This window comes from Homo sapiens, chromosome 10 (genome assembly GCF_000001405.40).
Source record: "Homo sapiens chromosome 10, GRCh38.p14 Primary Assembly".
NCBI classification, from domain to species: domain Eukaryota; kingdom Metazoa; phylum Chordata; class Mammalia; order Primates; family Hominidae; genus Homo; species Homo sapiens.
This window is the reverse complement of record NC_000010.11, coordinates 79,355,772-79,371,013: the sequence shown is the minus strand read 5'-3', so window position 1 is coordinate 79,371,013 and position 15,242 is coordinate 79,355,772. Positions and strand designations below refer to the sequence as shown.

General features: G+C 39.7%; 1 annotated feature.

Annotated features, from left to right (window-relative positions):
• Window positions 14,465-14,965: a transcriptional cis regulatory region, noted in NCBI's record as "chr10:81115805-81116305 region (GRCh37/hg19 assembly coordinates) targeted for CRISPR interference". NCBI's record gives its function as "positively regulates PPIF gene expression in THP-1 monocytic cells {active_cell/tissue: THP-1}" and the evidence as "EXISTENCE:mutant phenotype evidence [ECO:0000015][PMID:33828297]".

Sequence of the window (15,242 nt, the reverse complement as noted above, 5' to 3'; positions counted from 1 at the left end):
GGAGAAAAACCTCAATCCAAAAAAAGGCAAGCAGAGAACAAAAGGCAGATGGGACAAACAAAATAAATAGCAAGATGGTTGGTTTAAATTTAACTATATTGAGAATTACATTAAATATAAGTGATAAACATTTAATTGAATGGCAGAGATTGTCAGATTTGATAAGAAAGCAATGCTCAATGCACCATTATCAGTCCATTGTCTCTTAGTTCTAAGTCCTCCCTACATTGTCCTGTTTGTAATACTGTAACTGTTCTCCCTTGCCATCTGGAATTATATGAAGCTTTATCAGTACAGGGCACTGGAGAAATACTTTAGTCTTTTTTTTTTTTAAATAGTATGTATTGATCATTCTTGGGTGTTTCTCGGAGAGGGGGATGTGGCAGGGTCATAGTACTTTAGTCTTCAGTATTCTCTTTTTCCTTTAGTTGGTAAACTCCTGTTATAATTAATAATTTTTTTTACATATTCCCTGTTAAAACTACTGTGTTGTTTCTGTCTCCTGTTTGGACTCTGACTATATGGAATTGATACCAGAAGTGGTCCCAGAAGATAACCCCACCAAGATAAGATTTGGAGATGCATTTTGCTGTGCTTTTGGACTCCAACATGTCTACCAGTGGGAAATGGTATGTTAGTAATCCATGGCATGCAGTGACATCACAATTAATTATGCTGTCACCTGTAATTAAGTGACAAGAGAAGCATGTGCCTTGGGAGACCAGGTGACAGCAGCACTTGACCATTACAGTAGTAATCATGACCATAAAGACTGGGATGTGGGGAAAATTCTTTTGAGGACGCTTGATTGCTTACCAAAAGAAAATTTAGAACTTGTGTTCTTTAATTCTTGGCATAAACCAGAGAACCAGAAAGTTTCTGGTTATATTACAGCCTGAGAACCAGAAAGCTTCCATGATAACTCTAAAAGATTATCTTATTTCTTGTAGGCACTAGGCTAATAGCACTTAAAATCAAACAAAAATTTTACCACATAGGTTGCTAAATTACAACATCATTTCAATTCACAGTTTCACCAAGTTTTTCACAAAGTTTTTCATGTGAAAGGGCATTGATGAAAAACAATGAGATCCCAGGCCGGGTGCAGTGGCTCATGCCTGTAATCCCAGCACTTTGGAAGGCCGAGGCGGGTGGATTACCTGAGGTCAGGAGTTTGAGACCAGCCTGGCCAACATGGTGAAACCCCTGTCTCTACTATAAATACAAAATTAGCCAGGCATGCTGATGTGTGCCTGTAATCCCAGCTACTCAGGAGGCTGAGGCAGGAGAATTACTTGAGCCTGGGAGGCAGAGGTTGTTGCAGTGAGCTGAGATCATACCATTGCACTCCAGTCTGAGCAAAAAGAGTGAAACTCCATCTGAAAAAATGAACAAACAAACAAACAAACAGAAAATACAAAAAGAATGAGATCCCAGCCTGGACAACATAGTGAGACCTCTTCCCTACTAAACAAAAATAAAATAAAATAAAATATAAAATAAAATTTATTTAGCCAGGCATGGTGGTGCATAACTGTAGTCCCAGGTACTCGAGAGGCTGAGGCAGGAGGATCACTTGAGCCCAGGAAGTCAAGGTTGCAGTGACTTGACTTGATTATGCCACCACCCTCCAGCCTGAGCAAGAGAGTGAGACTTTGTCTCAAATGAGATCCTGAAATTTGGAATGGAGTCGCCTGATTGGATCAAAATGAAACCAACAACTTGAACCCTCAAGCTACTCTGTTTCTTCCTTACCAATGGAATTAGCTTGCTCTCCTGTGTCTGAGGAAAAGACACTTCTTTGCTTAAAAGCACTGTGATAACCTCATAAGGTTTGAAAGGGGATGCTCAAGGCCTGCTACAATCACTCCCCAGACCCATAATAGGTGTCGAATCTCAGCATTTTCCAGAGGAACAGCAGGATTCCAGAGGAAACAGCTTACACACCCAAAGAATTGTGAGACTTTGCTAATATAGATGCTCCTCAACTTGTGATGGGGTTACATCCTGATAAGCCCAATGTAAATTGAAAATGTCATAAGTTGAGAATGCATTTAATACCCCTAACCTACCAAACATCAGAGTTTAGCCTGGCCTACCTTAAATGTGCTCAGAACATTTACATTAGCCCACAGTTGGGCAAAATCATCTAACACAAATCCTTTCTTATAAGAAAGTGCTGAATATTTCATGTGATTTATGGAATACTGTACCAAAAGTAAAAACAGAATAGTCCTATGGGTACTCAAAGTACAGTTTCTACTGAATGCATATTGTAAAGCTGAAAAAACTGTAAGTTGAACCATCATAAGTCAGGGACTGTCTATACATATTTTTAAACAGATTTACTGAGATATAGTTCACACACTATACAATTTACCCATGAAAATGTTGATAGTATATTCACAGATATATGCAACAATCACAAAAGTCAATTTTAGAACATTTTTATCATCCCATAAAGAACCCTTGTAACTTCAGCCAACATGCATTGATACCCTGCCCCATCTACTCTCTTCAACCCTAAACAACCACTAATCTATTTTCCATCTCTATGGATTTATCTATTCTGGGCACGTCATATGGAATCATATACTATGTTGTCTTTTGTGACTGACTTCTTTCACATAGTATAATGTTTTCAAGATTCATCCAGGTTGTAGCAGGTATCAGTACTTCATTTCTTTTTATAACCAAATACTATTTCATTGTATGGCTATGCCACATTTTCTTTATCCATTTGCCCATGGATGGACATTTGGGTTGTTTCTACCTTTTGACCGTTATGAATAACGCTGCTATAAAAGTTTGTGTACAGGTTTTTCTATGGATGCGTTTTCATTTCTCTTGGGTGCATACCTAGGAATGGTATTGCTGGGTCATAGGATAACTCTATCTTTAATCATCTCAGAAACTGCCAGGCAGTTTTCCAAAGCAGTTGGACCATTTTGTATCCCACAGCAATGCTCGAGAGTTTCAAATTCTCCACATCTTTGCAAACATTTACTATTATCTGACTTTTTAATCTAACCACCCTAGCGGGTATAAAGCGGTATCTCATTGTGGGTTTGATTTGTGTTTCCCTGGTGACTAATGAGGTTGAGCATCTTCTCATGTGCTTATTGGCCAATCGTACATCTTCTTTGGAGAAATGTCTGTTCAAATCTTTTGCATGTTTTAAAATTGGGATATTTGTCTTTTTATCATGGAGTTGTCAGAGCTCTTCATATATTCTAAAAACAAGTCCCTTATCTGATATATGATTTGCAAATATTTTCTTCCATTGTGTGGGAGAACCACAAAAGTTTTAAATTTTGATGAAGTCTTAATCTATCTTTTTCTATTTTTGTTCCCTTCTGTTGCTCATGCTTTGTTTTCATATCTATGAATCATTTGGCAAATCTGAAAGACTGGATGCTTTCCTCTTAAGATCAGGAATAAGACACGATGTTTGCACATGTCACAAAAATTTATCCCTATATTTTCTTTAAAAAGTTATCTAGTTATGCCCTTATGTTTAGGTCTTTCATCCATTTTTGTTGTTGTTGTTTTTGTTATTTTAGAGAGGGTCTCACTCTGTGGCCCAAGCTGAGGTGCAGTGGTGCCATCATGGCTCAGTACAGCCTCAAAATGCTGGGCTCAAGTGATCCTCCCGCCTCAGTCTCCTGAGTAGCTGGTACTATAGGTGTGCCACTACAACTGGCTACGTTTTAATTTGTTTGTAGAGATGGGGGTCTTGCTTTATTTGGGGGGTTTAGGCTTCTTTGATCATTTTGAGTTAATTTTTGTTTATGATGTGAGGTAAGGGTTGAGATTTATACTTTTCTATGTGATTATCCAGTTGTCCCAGCACCACTTGTTAAGATTATTCTTTTCCCACTGAATGCTCTTGGCATCTTTGTTGAAAATCAGTTGACCATAGATGTATGAGTTTATTTCTGTAATCTCAATTCTACTCATATCTATCCTTCTGCCAATACCACACTGTCTTTATTATCATTGCTTTCATAAGTTTTGAAATCAGGAAGTGTGAGTACTCCTATTTTATTATTGTTTTTGGGGATTGTTTAAGTCAGTCTGGACCCCTTATAATTTTGTATGAATTTTAGAATCAGCTTGTCAATTTGTATAAGGAAGTCATCTGAGACTCTGATAAGGGTTACATTGAATCTGTAGATAAATTTGAGGAGTACTGCCATCTTAACTATATTAAGTTTTCCAATCCATGAATATGGAATGTTTTTTCATTTGTTTAGATCTTCTTTATTTTTTTCAACCATGTTTTGTAGTTTTCAGAATATGTTTTGCACTTTTGTTGTTAAATTTATTCCTAAGTATTCTATTGTGGATAGAATTATCTTAATTCCATTTTTGGATTTATCATTGCAAATGTATAAAAATACAACTGATTTTTTTGTATGTTGAGCTTATATCCTGCAATTGTGATACAATTTTTTATGAGTTGTAATAATTTGTAGTGGATTCCTTAAGCTTTTCTATGTAAAATATTATGTAATCTGACAGTAGAGACAGTTTTATTTCTTCCTTTATGAACCAGATGCTTCTTTGTTTTTCCTAATTGCCCCAACTACAGACTCCAGTACAATTCTGAACAGAAGTTCCAAAAGCAAGCTGGGTGCAGTGGCTCACAGCTATAATCCCAACACTCTGAGAAGCCAAGGGGATAGACCGCTTGAGTCCGGGAGTTTCAGACCAGCCTGGGCAACATGGCGAAACCCCATCTCTACCAAAAACAAAAACAAAAAACTAGCCAGGTGTGGTGGTGTGTGCTTGTGGTCCCAGCTACTCAGGAGGCTGAGGTGGGATGATCACCTTAGCCTGGAAGGTCAAGCTTCAGGGAGCCGTGATTGCAGCACTGCACTCCAGCTCTGCACTCACTCTAGCCTGAGCAACACAGTAAGACCCTGTGTCAAAAAAAAAAAAAAGTTCCGAAAGCAAAAGCAAATATCATGTCTTACTTCTGATCTTAAGGGGAAAGCATTCAGTCTTTCACCATTAAATATGATGTTAGCTCTAGGTTTGTCATGGATGTCCTTTACATATTGAGAAAGATTCCTTCTATTACTAGCTCATTCAGTGGTTTTTTTTTTTAATAATGAAAGGGTTTTGGATTTTGTTGAATGCTTCTTCTGCATCTATTAAGATAATCATGTAATTTTTGTTTTTATTCTATTGAAATTATATTATATGCTATTATATATTATGTAATTATAATATATATTATATTAATAGATTTTCAGATGTTAAACCAACCTTACACCCTTGGGATAAATCACACTTGGTCAAGATGTATAATTCATTTTATATGTTGCTGTATTCATTTGCTAGTATTTTGTTGGGGATTTTTGTGGCCATATTCATAAGCGATATTGGTCCATAGTTTTCTTCTCTTGTGATGTCTTTGGTTTTGACATCAGGGTAATACTGGCCTCATAGAATAACAGGGAAACTGTTCCCTTCTCTTCTATTTTTTGGAAGAGTTTGTAAAAAATTGGTATTAATTCTTCTTTGAGTGATAGGTAGAATGCAGCCCAGAGGCCATCTGGACCTAGGCTTTTCTTTGCAGGTAGATTTTGATTACTGCTTTAGTCTCTTCACTTACTAGCGGTCTATTCAGCTTATATATTTTTGAAGTCTGTGTCTTTCTAGGAATTTGTGCATTTCATGTAAGTTACCTAATTTGTTGCAATATAATTGTTCATACTAGTCCTCTTTAATCCTTTTTCTTTCTGAAAGGCTGGTAATAATATTCCCTCTTTAATTTATAATTCAACTAAGTTGAGTCTTCTCTCTTTTTTCTTCATCAAACTGACTAAAGGTTTGTCAATTTTGTTGATCTTTCTATGAAAAGCTGGCTTTTGGATCATTGATTTTTCTCCACAGCTTTTCTCATCTCTATTTTATTAATTTCTGCCTTAATATTTATTTCCTTCCTTTTTCTTGCTCTGGGTTTATTTTGTCTTCTTTTCCCAGTGTTTTAAGATGAAAGATTAGGTTACTCATTCGAAACCTTTATTCTTCATTAATGTAGGCATTTCCAGTTATAAGTTTTCCTCTAATCACTGCTTTAGCTGCATCCCAGAAGATCTGTGTTGTTTAATTGTTAATGTCTACTTATTTATGAGTTCCCTCAAATTTTCCCTGCAATTGACTTTTAATTTCATTCCATTGTGCTTGGAAAACATGCGTCACATTATTCCTGTCCTTTAAATGTACAGAGGTTTGTTTATAGTCTAGCCAGATGGCCTGCCCTAGAGAAGGTTCTACGTGTGCTTGAGAAGAAGGTACCCTTTGTTGTTGTTAGGCAGAGGGTTCTATTGATGTCTGCTAGTTCTGGTTCATGTACAGTTTTGTTCTAGTCCTCTTTCCCTGTTAATCTTCTGTGTAGTTGTTCTATTCATTATTGAAGTCTCTATTATTGTTAAATTGTTATTTCTCCCTTTATTTCTGTCAGGTTGTGCTTCGGGTACTTTGGTATTCTTTTATGGGGCACATATATGTATCTAATTGTTATATCTCTCCAATGAATTCACCATTATACAATGTCCCTCTTTATCTCCAGTAACATTTGTTTGGTTTTGTTTTTAAATAGAGACAAGTTTTCACTATGTTGTCTAGGCTGGTCTTGAACTCCTGGTTTCAAGTGATTCTCCCACCTCAGCCTCCCAAAGTGCTGGGATTACAAGTGTGAGCCACCATGCCTCCAGTAACATTTGTTGTTTTAAATTATATTTTGTTTGATATTATTGTAGCCACTTTAGCTTTCATGTGGTTGCTGTTATATAAGCTAATGTGTCTTTCTCCATCCTTTTACTTTCAGTCTATTTCTGTATGTATTTAAAAGCTTGTCTCCTATAGACACCATATAGTTGGATCTGGTTTTTTTAATGCGGTCTAGCTCAGTCTTTTGATCAGATTGCTTAATCAATTTATATTTCATGTCGTCATTAGCATATTTGGATTTGCATCTGCCAACTTACCTTTTGTTTTTCTTGTGTCTCATGTCATTTTTGTTCCTCTATTTCTTCTTTAATATTGTCTTTTGCATCAAGTGAATATTTTCCAATATAGTATTGAAATTTTCATTAATTAAATGTGATTTTTTTCATTATATTTTTTGAGGGTTTTTTTTAGTAGTTTCTCTAGGGTTTACCATATATGTCTTAATAGAATAAGCTTTAATTGCAATATTTAGACTATTTACATGTAATGTTATTATAATATGTTTGAATTTTAAATTGTCATCCAAATACTATCCATTTGTGTTTTGTTCCTTTCATCTCTCTTTCTACCTATGAATGTGTTAACTTACATAGCAAAAGGAACTTTGCAGAGGTAATTAAGTTAAGAATTTTAATATGGGAAGATTATCTGGATTACCCAATGGGTCCAATGTAATCACAAGGGTACTGAAAAGTGCAGGAGGAATGTAGGAGAGTGAGAGTCAGAGAAGAAGATGATACAGAAGCAGAGATTCAGGTGATGATGCTATGTTGGCTTTGAAGATGGAGGAAGAAGCCACAAGCCGAGGAATACAGGCAACCTCTAGAAGCAGTTAGAAAAGGCAAGGAATGTTCTCTCCCCTAGAGCCTCCAAAATAATGCAACCTACCAGCATCTTGACTTTAGCCCAGTGAAACCCATTTCAGACTTAAATCTGTGGGTTTTTTGTTGTTCTTGTTTGTTTGTTTGTTTGTTTGTTTTTGAGACAGAGTCTCACTCTGTCGCCCAGGCTGGAGTGCAGTGGTGTAATCTCGGCTCACTGCAACCTCCACCTCCTGGGTTCAAGCAATTCTGTGCCTCAGCTTCTCAGGTAGCTGGGATTACAAGCGCCCACCACTACTCCCGGCTAATTGTTGTATTTTTAGTAGAGATGGGGTTTCACCATCTTGGCCAGGCAGGTCTTGAACCCCTGACCTCGTGTTCCACCGGCCTCGGCCTCCCAAAGTGCTGGGATTACAGGCATGAGCCACCACGCCCAGCCAATTTGTATTGTCTTAAGCAAGTATGTTTATGGTAATTTGTGACAGCAGCCATGGGAAACTAATGTAAATAGATCTCTTTTAAGAAGTGAGTGGTTGTTTTCATGTTTACAACATATGTCATTAATTTATCACAGTCTACATTCAAATAATATACAACTTCAACTATAGCGTAAGAATCTTACAACAGTTTACTTCTGATTTCTTCCTCTCATTCCTTGTGCAATTTTAGCATGCATTTTACTTTTACACATACTAAAATTCTGTGATAGACTTTGAAACAAAGGTTAAAGTATGATTTTTTTTGTTTTAATTTTACTCTAAGTTCTGGGATACATGTGCAGAACTTGCAGGTTTGTTACATAGGTATACATATGCCATGGTGGTTTGCTGCACCCATCAACCCGTCACCTAGGTTTTAAAAGCCCCATTTGCATTAGGTATTTGTCCTCATTAAAGCAGGATTATTTTTAAAGATAATCTTTTTAAGTCAAATTACATTTAAAATAATGAAAGAAAGTGCTTTTATATACTTAATTTTTTTACCATTTCCAGAATTTCTTCATTTCTTTGTGTAGATCCAAGCTGCTGTTTGGTATCATACTTCTTCCTGAAGAACTTCTTCTAACCTTGCTTGTATCATGGGTCTGCTGACAGTGAATTTGTTCTGCCTTTGTTGTCAGAAAGGATTTTTGCTTTTGTTTTCTGCTTTTATTTTTGAAGGGTATTTTCCCTGGCCGTAGAATTGTGAATAGATGGGTTATTTTTTCTCCCACTCAGTACTTTAAAGTCTCAATCCATGATGTGTTCATTTCCCTTTCACATGGCATGCCTGAATCGAAACATCTTATGTACCTCATAAGTATACACCTACTAAGTACCCACAAAAATTAAAAATAAAAATTAACTTGTCAATTCATTGTTTTTAACTTGCATAATTTCTAATGAGAAGTCTGCTATCATTTTTATCTTTGTTCCTCTGTAATTCACGGTTTTGGTGTGTGTGTGTTGTGGGAGATTGCCTTAGAGATTTTCTTGTTTTCTTTGGTTTTCATAGTTTGATGCTAAGCCACTCTGGTGTGTGTGTGTGCGTGTGTGTGTGTGTGGTCTTTCCTGCTTGAGGTTCTCAGAATTTCTTGTATCTGTGGTTTGATATGTCTCAATAATTCTGGAAAAATGTTACCACTTATTTCTTTAAATACTTATTCTTCTGCATTCATTTCTTTTCTCATTCTGGGGCTAAAATGACACCTCTGCTAGGCATTTTGATATTATCCCATAGTTCTTTGATGCTCTGTTCTCTTTCATTCTGATTTCTCTTTGTGTTTCCATCTGGATTAATTTCTTTTGACCTCTTTAAGGTCACTGATATATTCCTCAGCTGTGCTAAGTTTACTAATAAGCTCATCAAAGGAATTCTTCATTTTAATATATTTTTTCACTTCTAGCATCTCCATTAGGCTCTTTCTTGTAGTTTTTCTCTACTGAAATGCATCCTTTCCCACTAGATCTTCCAACATATTAATCAGAGTTATTTTAATGTTCATATCTGACAATGTTATATCTGAGTCTGATTCTGTTGTTTTATTTCTTGACAATGTTTTTCTTCTTTGCATTTTGTGTGTCTTCTAATTTTTTGTTGAAAATCAATAGAATTCCAACAATAGAAGAGACAGTAGTGAACAGTATGTGTCATTATTAATTTTATGTGTCAACTTGGCTAGGCCAGGGTACTCAGATATTTGGTCACACACCAGTCTAGATGTTGCTGTGAAGGTATTTTTGAGATGAGATTAAAATTTAAATCAGTGACTTTGAGTAAAGCATATTGCCCTCCATAATGTGGTGGGCCTCATCCAATCAGTTGAAGACTTTAAGAGAAAAAGACTAAGGTCCACCAAAGAAGGTGGCATTTTGCTTCTTGAACCCAAGCTCCAAAATCAACTCTTCCCTGAGTCACCAGCCTGCTGGCCTGTCCTGCAGAATTTGGAATTGCCCAGGTCCCACAACTGCATGAGCCAATTAATTAAAATCTCTCAATCTCTCTCTCTCCCTCTGCCTATACATATATACACATCCAATTGGTTCTAGTTCTCTGAAGAACCCTGACTAATACAGTATGTACACTGGAAACAGGCATGCCACTGATTCTTTCAGGCCATTATTGTGGGAAATTGAGTTAGTCGCCTCAGGGGTTGAGCTGGATTTGGGGTTTGTGTTGCTATTCTTGCTTTCAGAGCTCCATAGGCTTCAAATTCCTTAAGTGGTGGATTACTGTTGACTTGTGCTTACAGTGGAGCTGGGGTGCCAAAGGATTGTTTAGACTCCACACTCAGCTTTCTGCAATACGGAGGGTGTCTCTCTCCATGCCCCGCCCTCCCCCACTGGTAGACCAGGCTCATAGTAAGGCAGGAGGCTTTTCTGCTGTCCTCATCCCGCCTTAGTCTTAGGCATGTCTTGGCTGTTTCTTGCTCCCTCTTCCACCAGAGGTAGTCAATTTCTGGTTGGTATCGCTAAAGGATCCTGGGCCCTGGATGGCTTCTTACCCCTCCCACAGGGATAAAAGGATGTGTGTTCTACTTCCCCCAGCCACAGTGCACTTTTACATGTTCCTGGGGGTGGATGGTGTAATGCCCAACCTCCCAGTGGATTCTCAAATTTACTTCATTGGAGAGAAGAACCTGAGGAAGTGGACGAGGCTCCGTGCCTTTCTCCAGCAGCTGAAGGTCCCCTCCTGCAGACCTGAACCACCAAGTTGGGCTACCTCTTAGGTCTTCTGTGCATCTGGTGGGAGCCTGGAGAAAGATGTTGAACTCCCTTTGCATCTGGGGTCCCCAGCTACTCCAGATGGACACATTAGCCCCCTCTTGGCCTTTAGCAATTCATTAAAAGGCTTACCTAATTTTATTTTATTTTACACAGTTGTTTCATGGTCATATCTTCCTACAGTGCTCTGCCACAGGTGAAACTGTGTGTCCTGTCTCTCCTTGCAGGGCCTTGTTCCTCTTTTTTTTTTTTTTTTTTTTGAGATGGAGTCTCACTCTGTTGCCCAGGCTAGAGTGCAGTGGTGCAATCTCGGCTCATTGCAACCTCCGCCTCCCGGTTCAAGTGATTCTCCTGCCTCAGTCTCCAGAGTAGCTGAGATTACAGGCATGCACCACCATGCTCGGCTATTTTTTTTTTATTTTTAGTAGAGACAGGGTTTCACCACGTTGGCCAGGCTGGTCTCCAACTCCTGACCTCAGGTGATCCGCCCACCTTGGCCTCCCAAAGTGCTGGGATTACAGGCGTGAGCCACGGCGACTGGCCGCTTTGTTCCTCTTTGAAACTCAGGTTATTTGGTTGCCTTTCTGGTGAGCTCAAGAAAAGTTACGATTTTGTAGTTTATTCAACTTCTTCTCATTGTTAGGAAAGGAGTGGTGGTCTTTGCAGCTAAGCAAATGCAGAAACCTATACCAACTATTACTGTAATAGGATTGTAGGCAATGCTAATTCTCTATATTATATAATTATGTAACATTTGAATTTTTACATGTGCATTTTGGTTTTATAAATAGAAAAAAGACAATATGTGTAAGAGAAACAGAATCAGTAGAATATATATGTGTGTGTGTGTGTGTGTGTGTATATATTTATACCATATACATAAGATATATATGATACAAAAACATAAGGAATTGGCTCATGTGATCATGGGGGCTGAGAAGACCCACCACCTGTAGTTGGCGGGCTGGAGACCCAGGAGAGCCAATGGTGTAGGTCCAGTCCGAGTCTGAAGGCCTGAGAACCAGAAGAGCCAATGTAGGTTCCAGTCTGAAGGCTGGCAGGCTCAAGACCCTGAGACAGCCAACATTTCAGTTTGAGTCCAAAGGCAGAAAATACCAATGTTCCAGCTGAGGACCGTCAGGCAGGAGGCGTTCCCTCTTAGCCTTTTGTTCTATTCAGGTCTTCAGTTGACTGGACGAAGTCCACCCACACGAGGGAGAACCACCTGCTTTACTCGGTCTAGCTATGCAAATATTAATCTTAGACAGAAACACCCTCACAGACACACCCAGAATAGTGTCTGACCCAATGTGTAAGCACTCTGTGACCCAGTTAGGTTGACACATAAGGCTGGGTGTGGTGCCTGACACCTATAATCTCAACATTTTAGGAATTTGAAGTGGGAGGACCACTTGGGGCCAGGAGAGACTGGCCTGGGAAATACAGCAAGACCCGCATCTTTTAAAAAAATAAAAAATAAATAGCCAAGCATGGTGGCACGTGCCTGTAGTCCCAGCTACTCAGGGTGCTGAGGTGGAAGGATTGCTTGAGCCTAGGAGTTTGAGGTTACAGCAAGCTATGATTGTGCCACTGCACTCCGGCATGGGTGACAGAGTGAGACCCCATCTCAAAAAAAAAAAATTGACCCATAAAATTAACGATCACAATATGATAGAATAGCAATAATGTTATCAGCATAATTCTGGACAGCCTCTACAGGCTGGGTGATCTGGGAGGCAGAATGGACCCAAGACTTTCTCTACCTGCCATATTCTGAAGAATCTTGGACATAGAGCTGACTTCTGGCCTCCGCAATCCACTCACTGAGAAATGCACTCCATCCAAGACCCACCCAAGGCAGCCCCTCCTCCTAGATGACAAAACAAGAGCTGGGGCCTCCACCCCTCTAGGAGCTTCTTCCTTCACAGGCTCCTGCATAGGCAAAGACAGGGGGAGCCACTTTTTCTTTTCTCTTTTTGAGACAGCGTGTTGCTCTGTCACCCAGACTGCAGTCCCGTGGCATGATCATGGCTCACTGCAGCCTCCGGCTCCTGGGCTCAAGTGATCCTCTTACCTCAGCCTCCCGAGTAGCTGGGACCACAGGCACATGTCACCAAGCCCAGCTAAGTTTTAATTTTTTTTTTTTTTTTTTTTTTTTTTTTTTTTTTTGTAGAGATGCGATCTCACTATGTTGACCAGGCTGGTCTGAAACCCCTGGGCTCAAGCAATCCGTTCACCTCTGCTTCCCAAAGTGCTGGGATTACAGGCATGAGCCACCATGCCTGGCTGGCCACTTTGACCAGCGCTATCGAGGAGCTCCCCTGCCCACTGGCCTCCACAGAGCTTGAGTGGAATAGGATGTGCCCCACCCAGTCATCCGAGACTTGTCGGTCAGACTCCTTAAGTGAGGCTTCTTTTAAAAGTGGAGGGTGTCACACTAGAGTCCCAGAAAGTCCAGTAAAAAATGTTTCCAGAAGTAAATGATGACTCTAGTGTTGAGCCATGACCTTCCCTTTCACTCTTACCCACTGTGGCTACACTCAAATTCTTAAGCTTTATCAGATTTGTCTCCGGAATTGCTTCCTGCCGGAGAGTTCATGGTCTCGTTGACTTCGAGAATGGAGCCACGGCCCTTCACGGTGAGTGTTACAGCTCTTAAAGATGGCACAAGTGAGCGGTAGCAAGGTTTATTGTGAAGAGGGAAAGGACAAAGTTTCCACAACACGGAAAGAGACCCGAGCCAGTTGCGGCTGCTGGTTGGGATAGCCAACTTTTATTCCCTTATTTGTCCCCGCCCATGTTCCATTTCTGTCCTATCAGAGTGCCTTTTTTCAGTCCTCCCCACGAATGGCTACTTTCAGAATCCTGCTGATTGGTCCGTTTTACAGAGTGCTGATTGGTGCATTTTACAGAGCGCTGATTGGTGCATTTTACAATCCTCTTGTAAGACAGGAAAGTTCCCCAAGGGATGTCCAGCTGGCTTCACCTCTCAGAATTATTATTTTAAAATTCAGATTCCTAGATGCAAATATTCAAAAGGCGTCTCAGGTATGGCCAGAAATCTGCATGATTTACTGGCACTCTGTGATTCCTAGAAGCATTGCTTTAGGCCTTCCCAGACCTACGAAACCTTTAAGAAATTCCTTTTCATGGAGCAAGATTCTTTAGAACCCAGAAGCATATTAGAGCCTCACACATTCTCACACATGCCACACTGGAGAAGCCAGACATGAAAAAGTGAACCCTGCTCAATACCATTTCTACAAAGTTCTAGAACAGGCAAAATTACAGGGATAAGATCCAGTGGCTGCCTGGGAAGGGGCACAGAGAGAACTTTCTGGAAAGACGGAAACATTCTGTATCTTAATTTGGTGATAGATATTACTAGTATATGCTTTTGTCAAAAGTCATTGATGTGTACACTTGAAGTGACTTTTCTTGTACGTAAATATACCTCAATGAAATCATTTTGAAAAGCTATCACATCACAGAAAATAAAATTGATGTTTCAGATTTTTTTTAAAAATCGTGTGTACATGGCACCACTTATGATTACATCTATGAGTGCATGTGTAAGACTCACTGCCTCATTTATGCATGAGGTATTGAGTGCTCACTGGCCAGAAACAAGCCAGTATTTTATTTGTATATTACTTATGTTCTTGCTTTATGCAAGAAATATGACTAGGCTCAGGCCTTTGTGCAGGGAGCTCAGGGAATGAGCAGCACAGGGAACGGCCCTGCTTTCAGGGAACTCGGTTTTTAGGAGATTCCTGCATGTTTGGTGCACCCTCACCTCACCTTAGACTTCTCTGGGTGGAGATACACACACATAGACACACACACATACACGCGTGCACACACACACACTCTCCTCAGCAAGAAGGAAACACAATGACTAAACATAAGCCCCAAAAGAGGAAACTCCAGAGGGAGTGAAGCTGTGGGCTTTGACCTCAGAGATCAGTTGTGCTCTGAATGTGTGTGGCCTGAGAACCTTTGGCAATATGTCCCCCAAGGCACCTGTGCATTCTCGAAGGCCCCCAACAGAAATCCCTGCAGACTGCCAAAAACCCTGGATTCTAGCCCGTTTTGCCAATTGATTCACAGGGTCACATGGGACAATCATAATCCCTCTTGGGGTCTCAGTTTACCCATCTGTAAAGTGTTGGACTGGATGAGAAATTACTAATTATGATTTGGCTCAAGATCCTATTCTTCAAATGAAATCCCTTACAGAACCCCAATATAAATGGAGGGCATCTATGACTGCAAATGGGGTTCAGGGGCCCATGCTCCTTGTGTCCTCCTTGTCTGCTTTGAGGACTCTTAACGCTCTTGATAATTGTTTTAAGACTACTTGTCCTACTGAAACTGACTTCATGGGAACTCTCCATGACTCCAAATGACCCGACCCCAGTCACCATGACCTCAGAGTGACTCCATTAACCTAAGACTACACATAACCTCACTC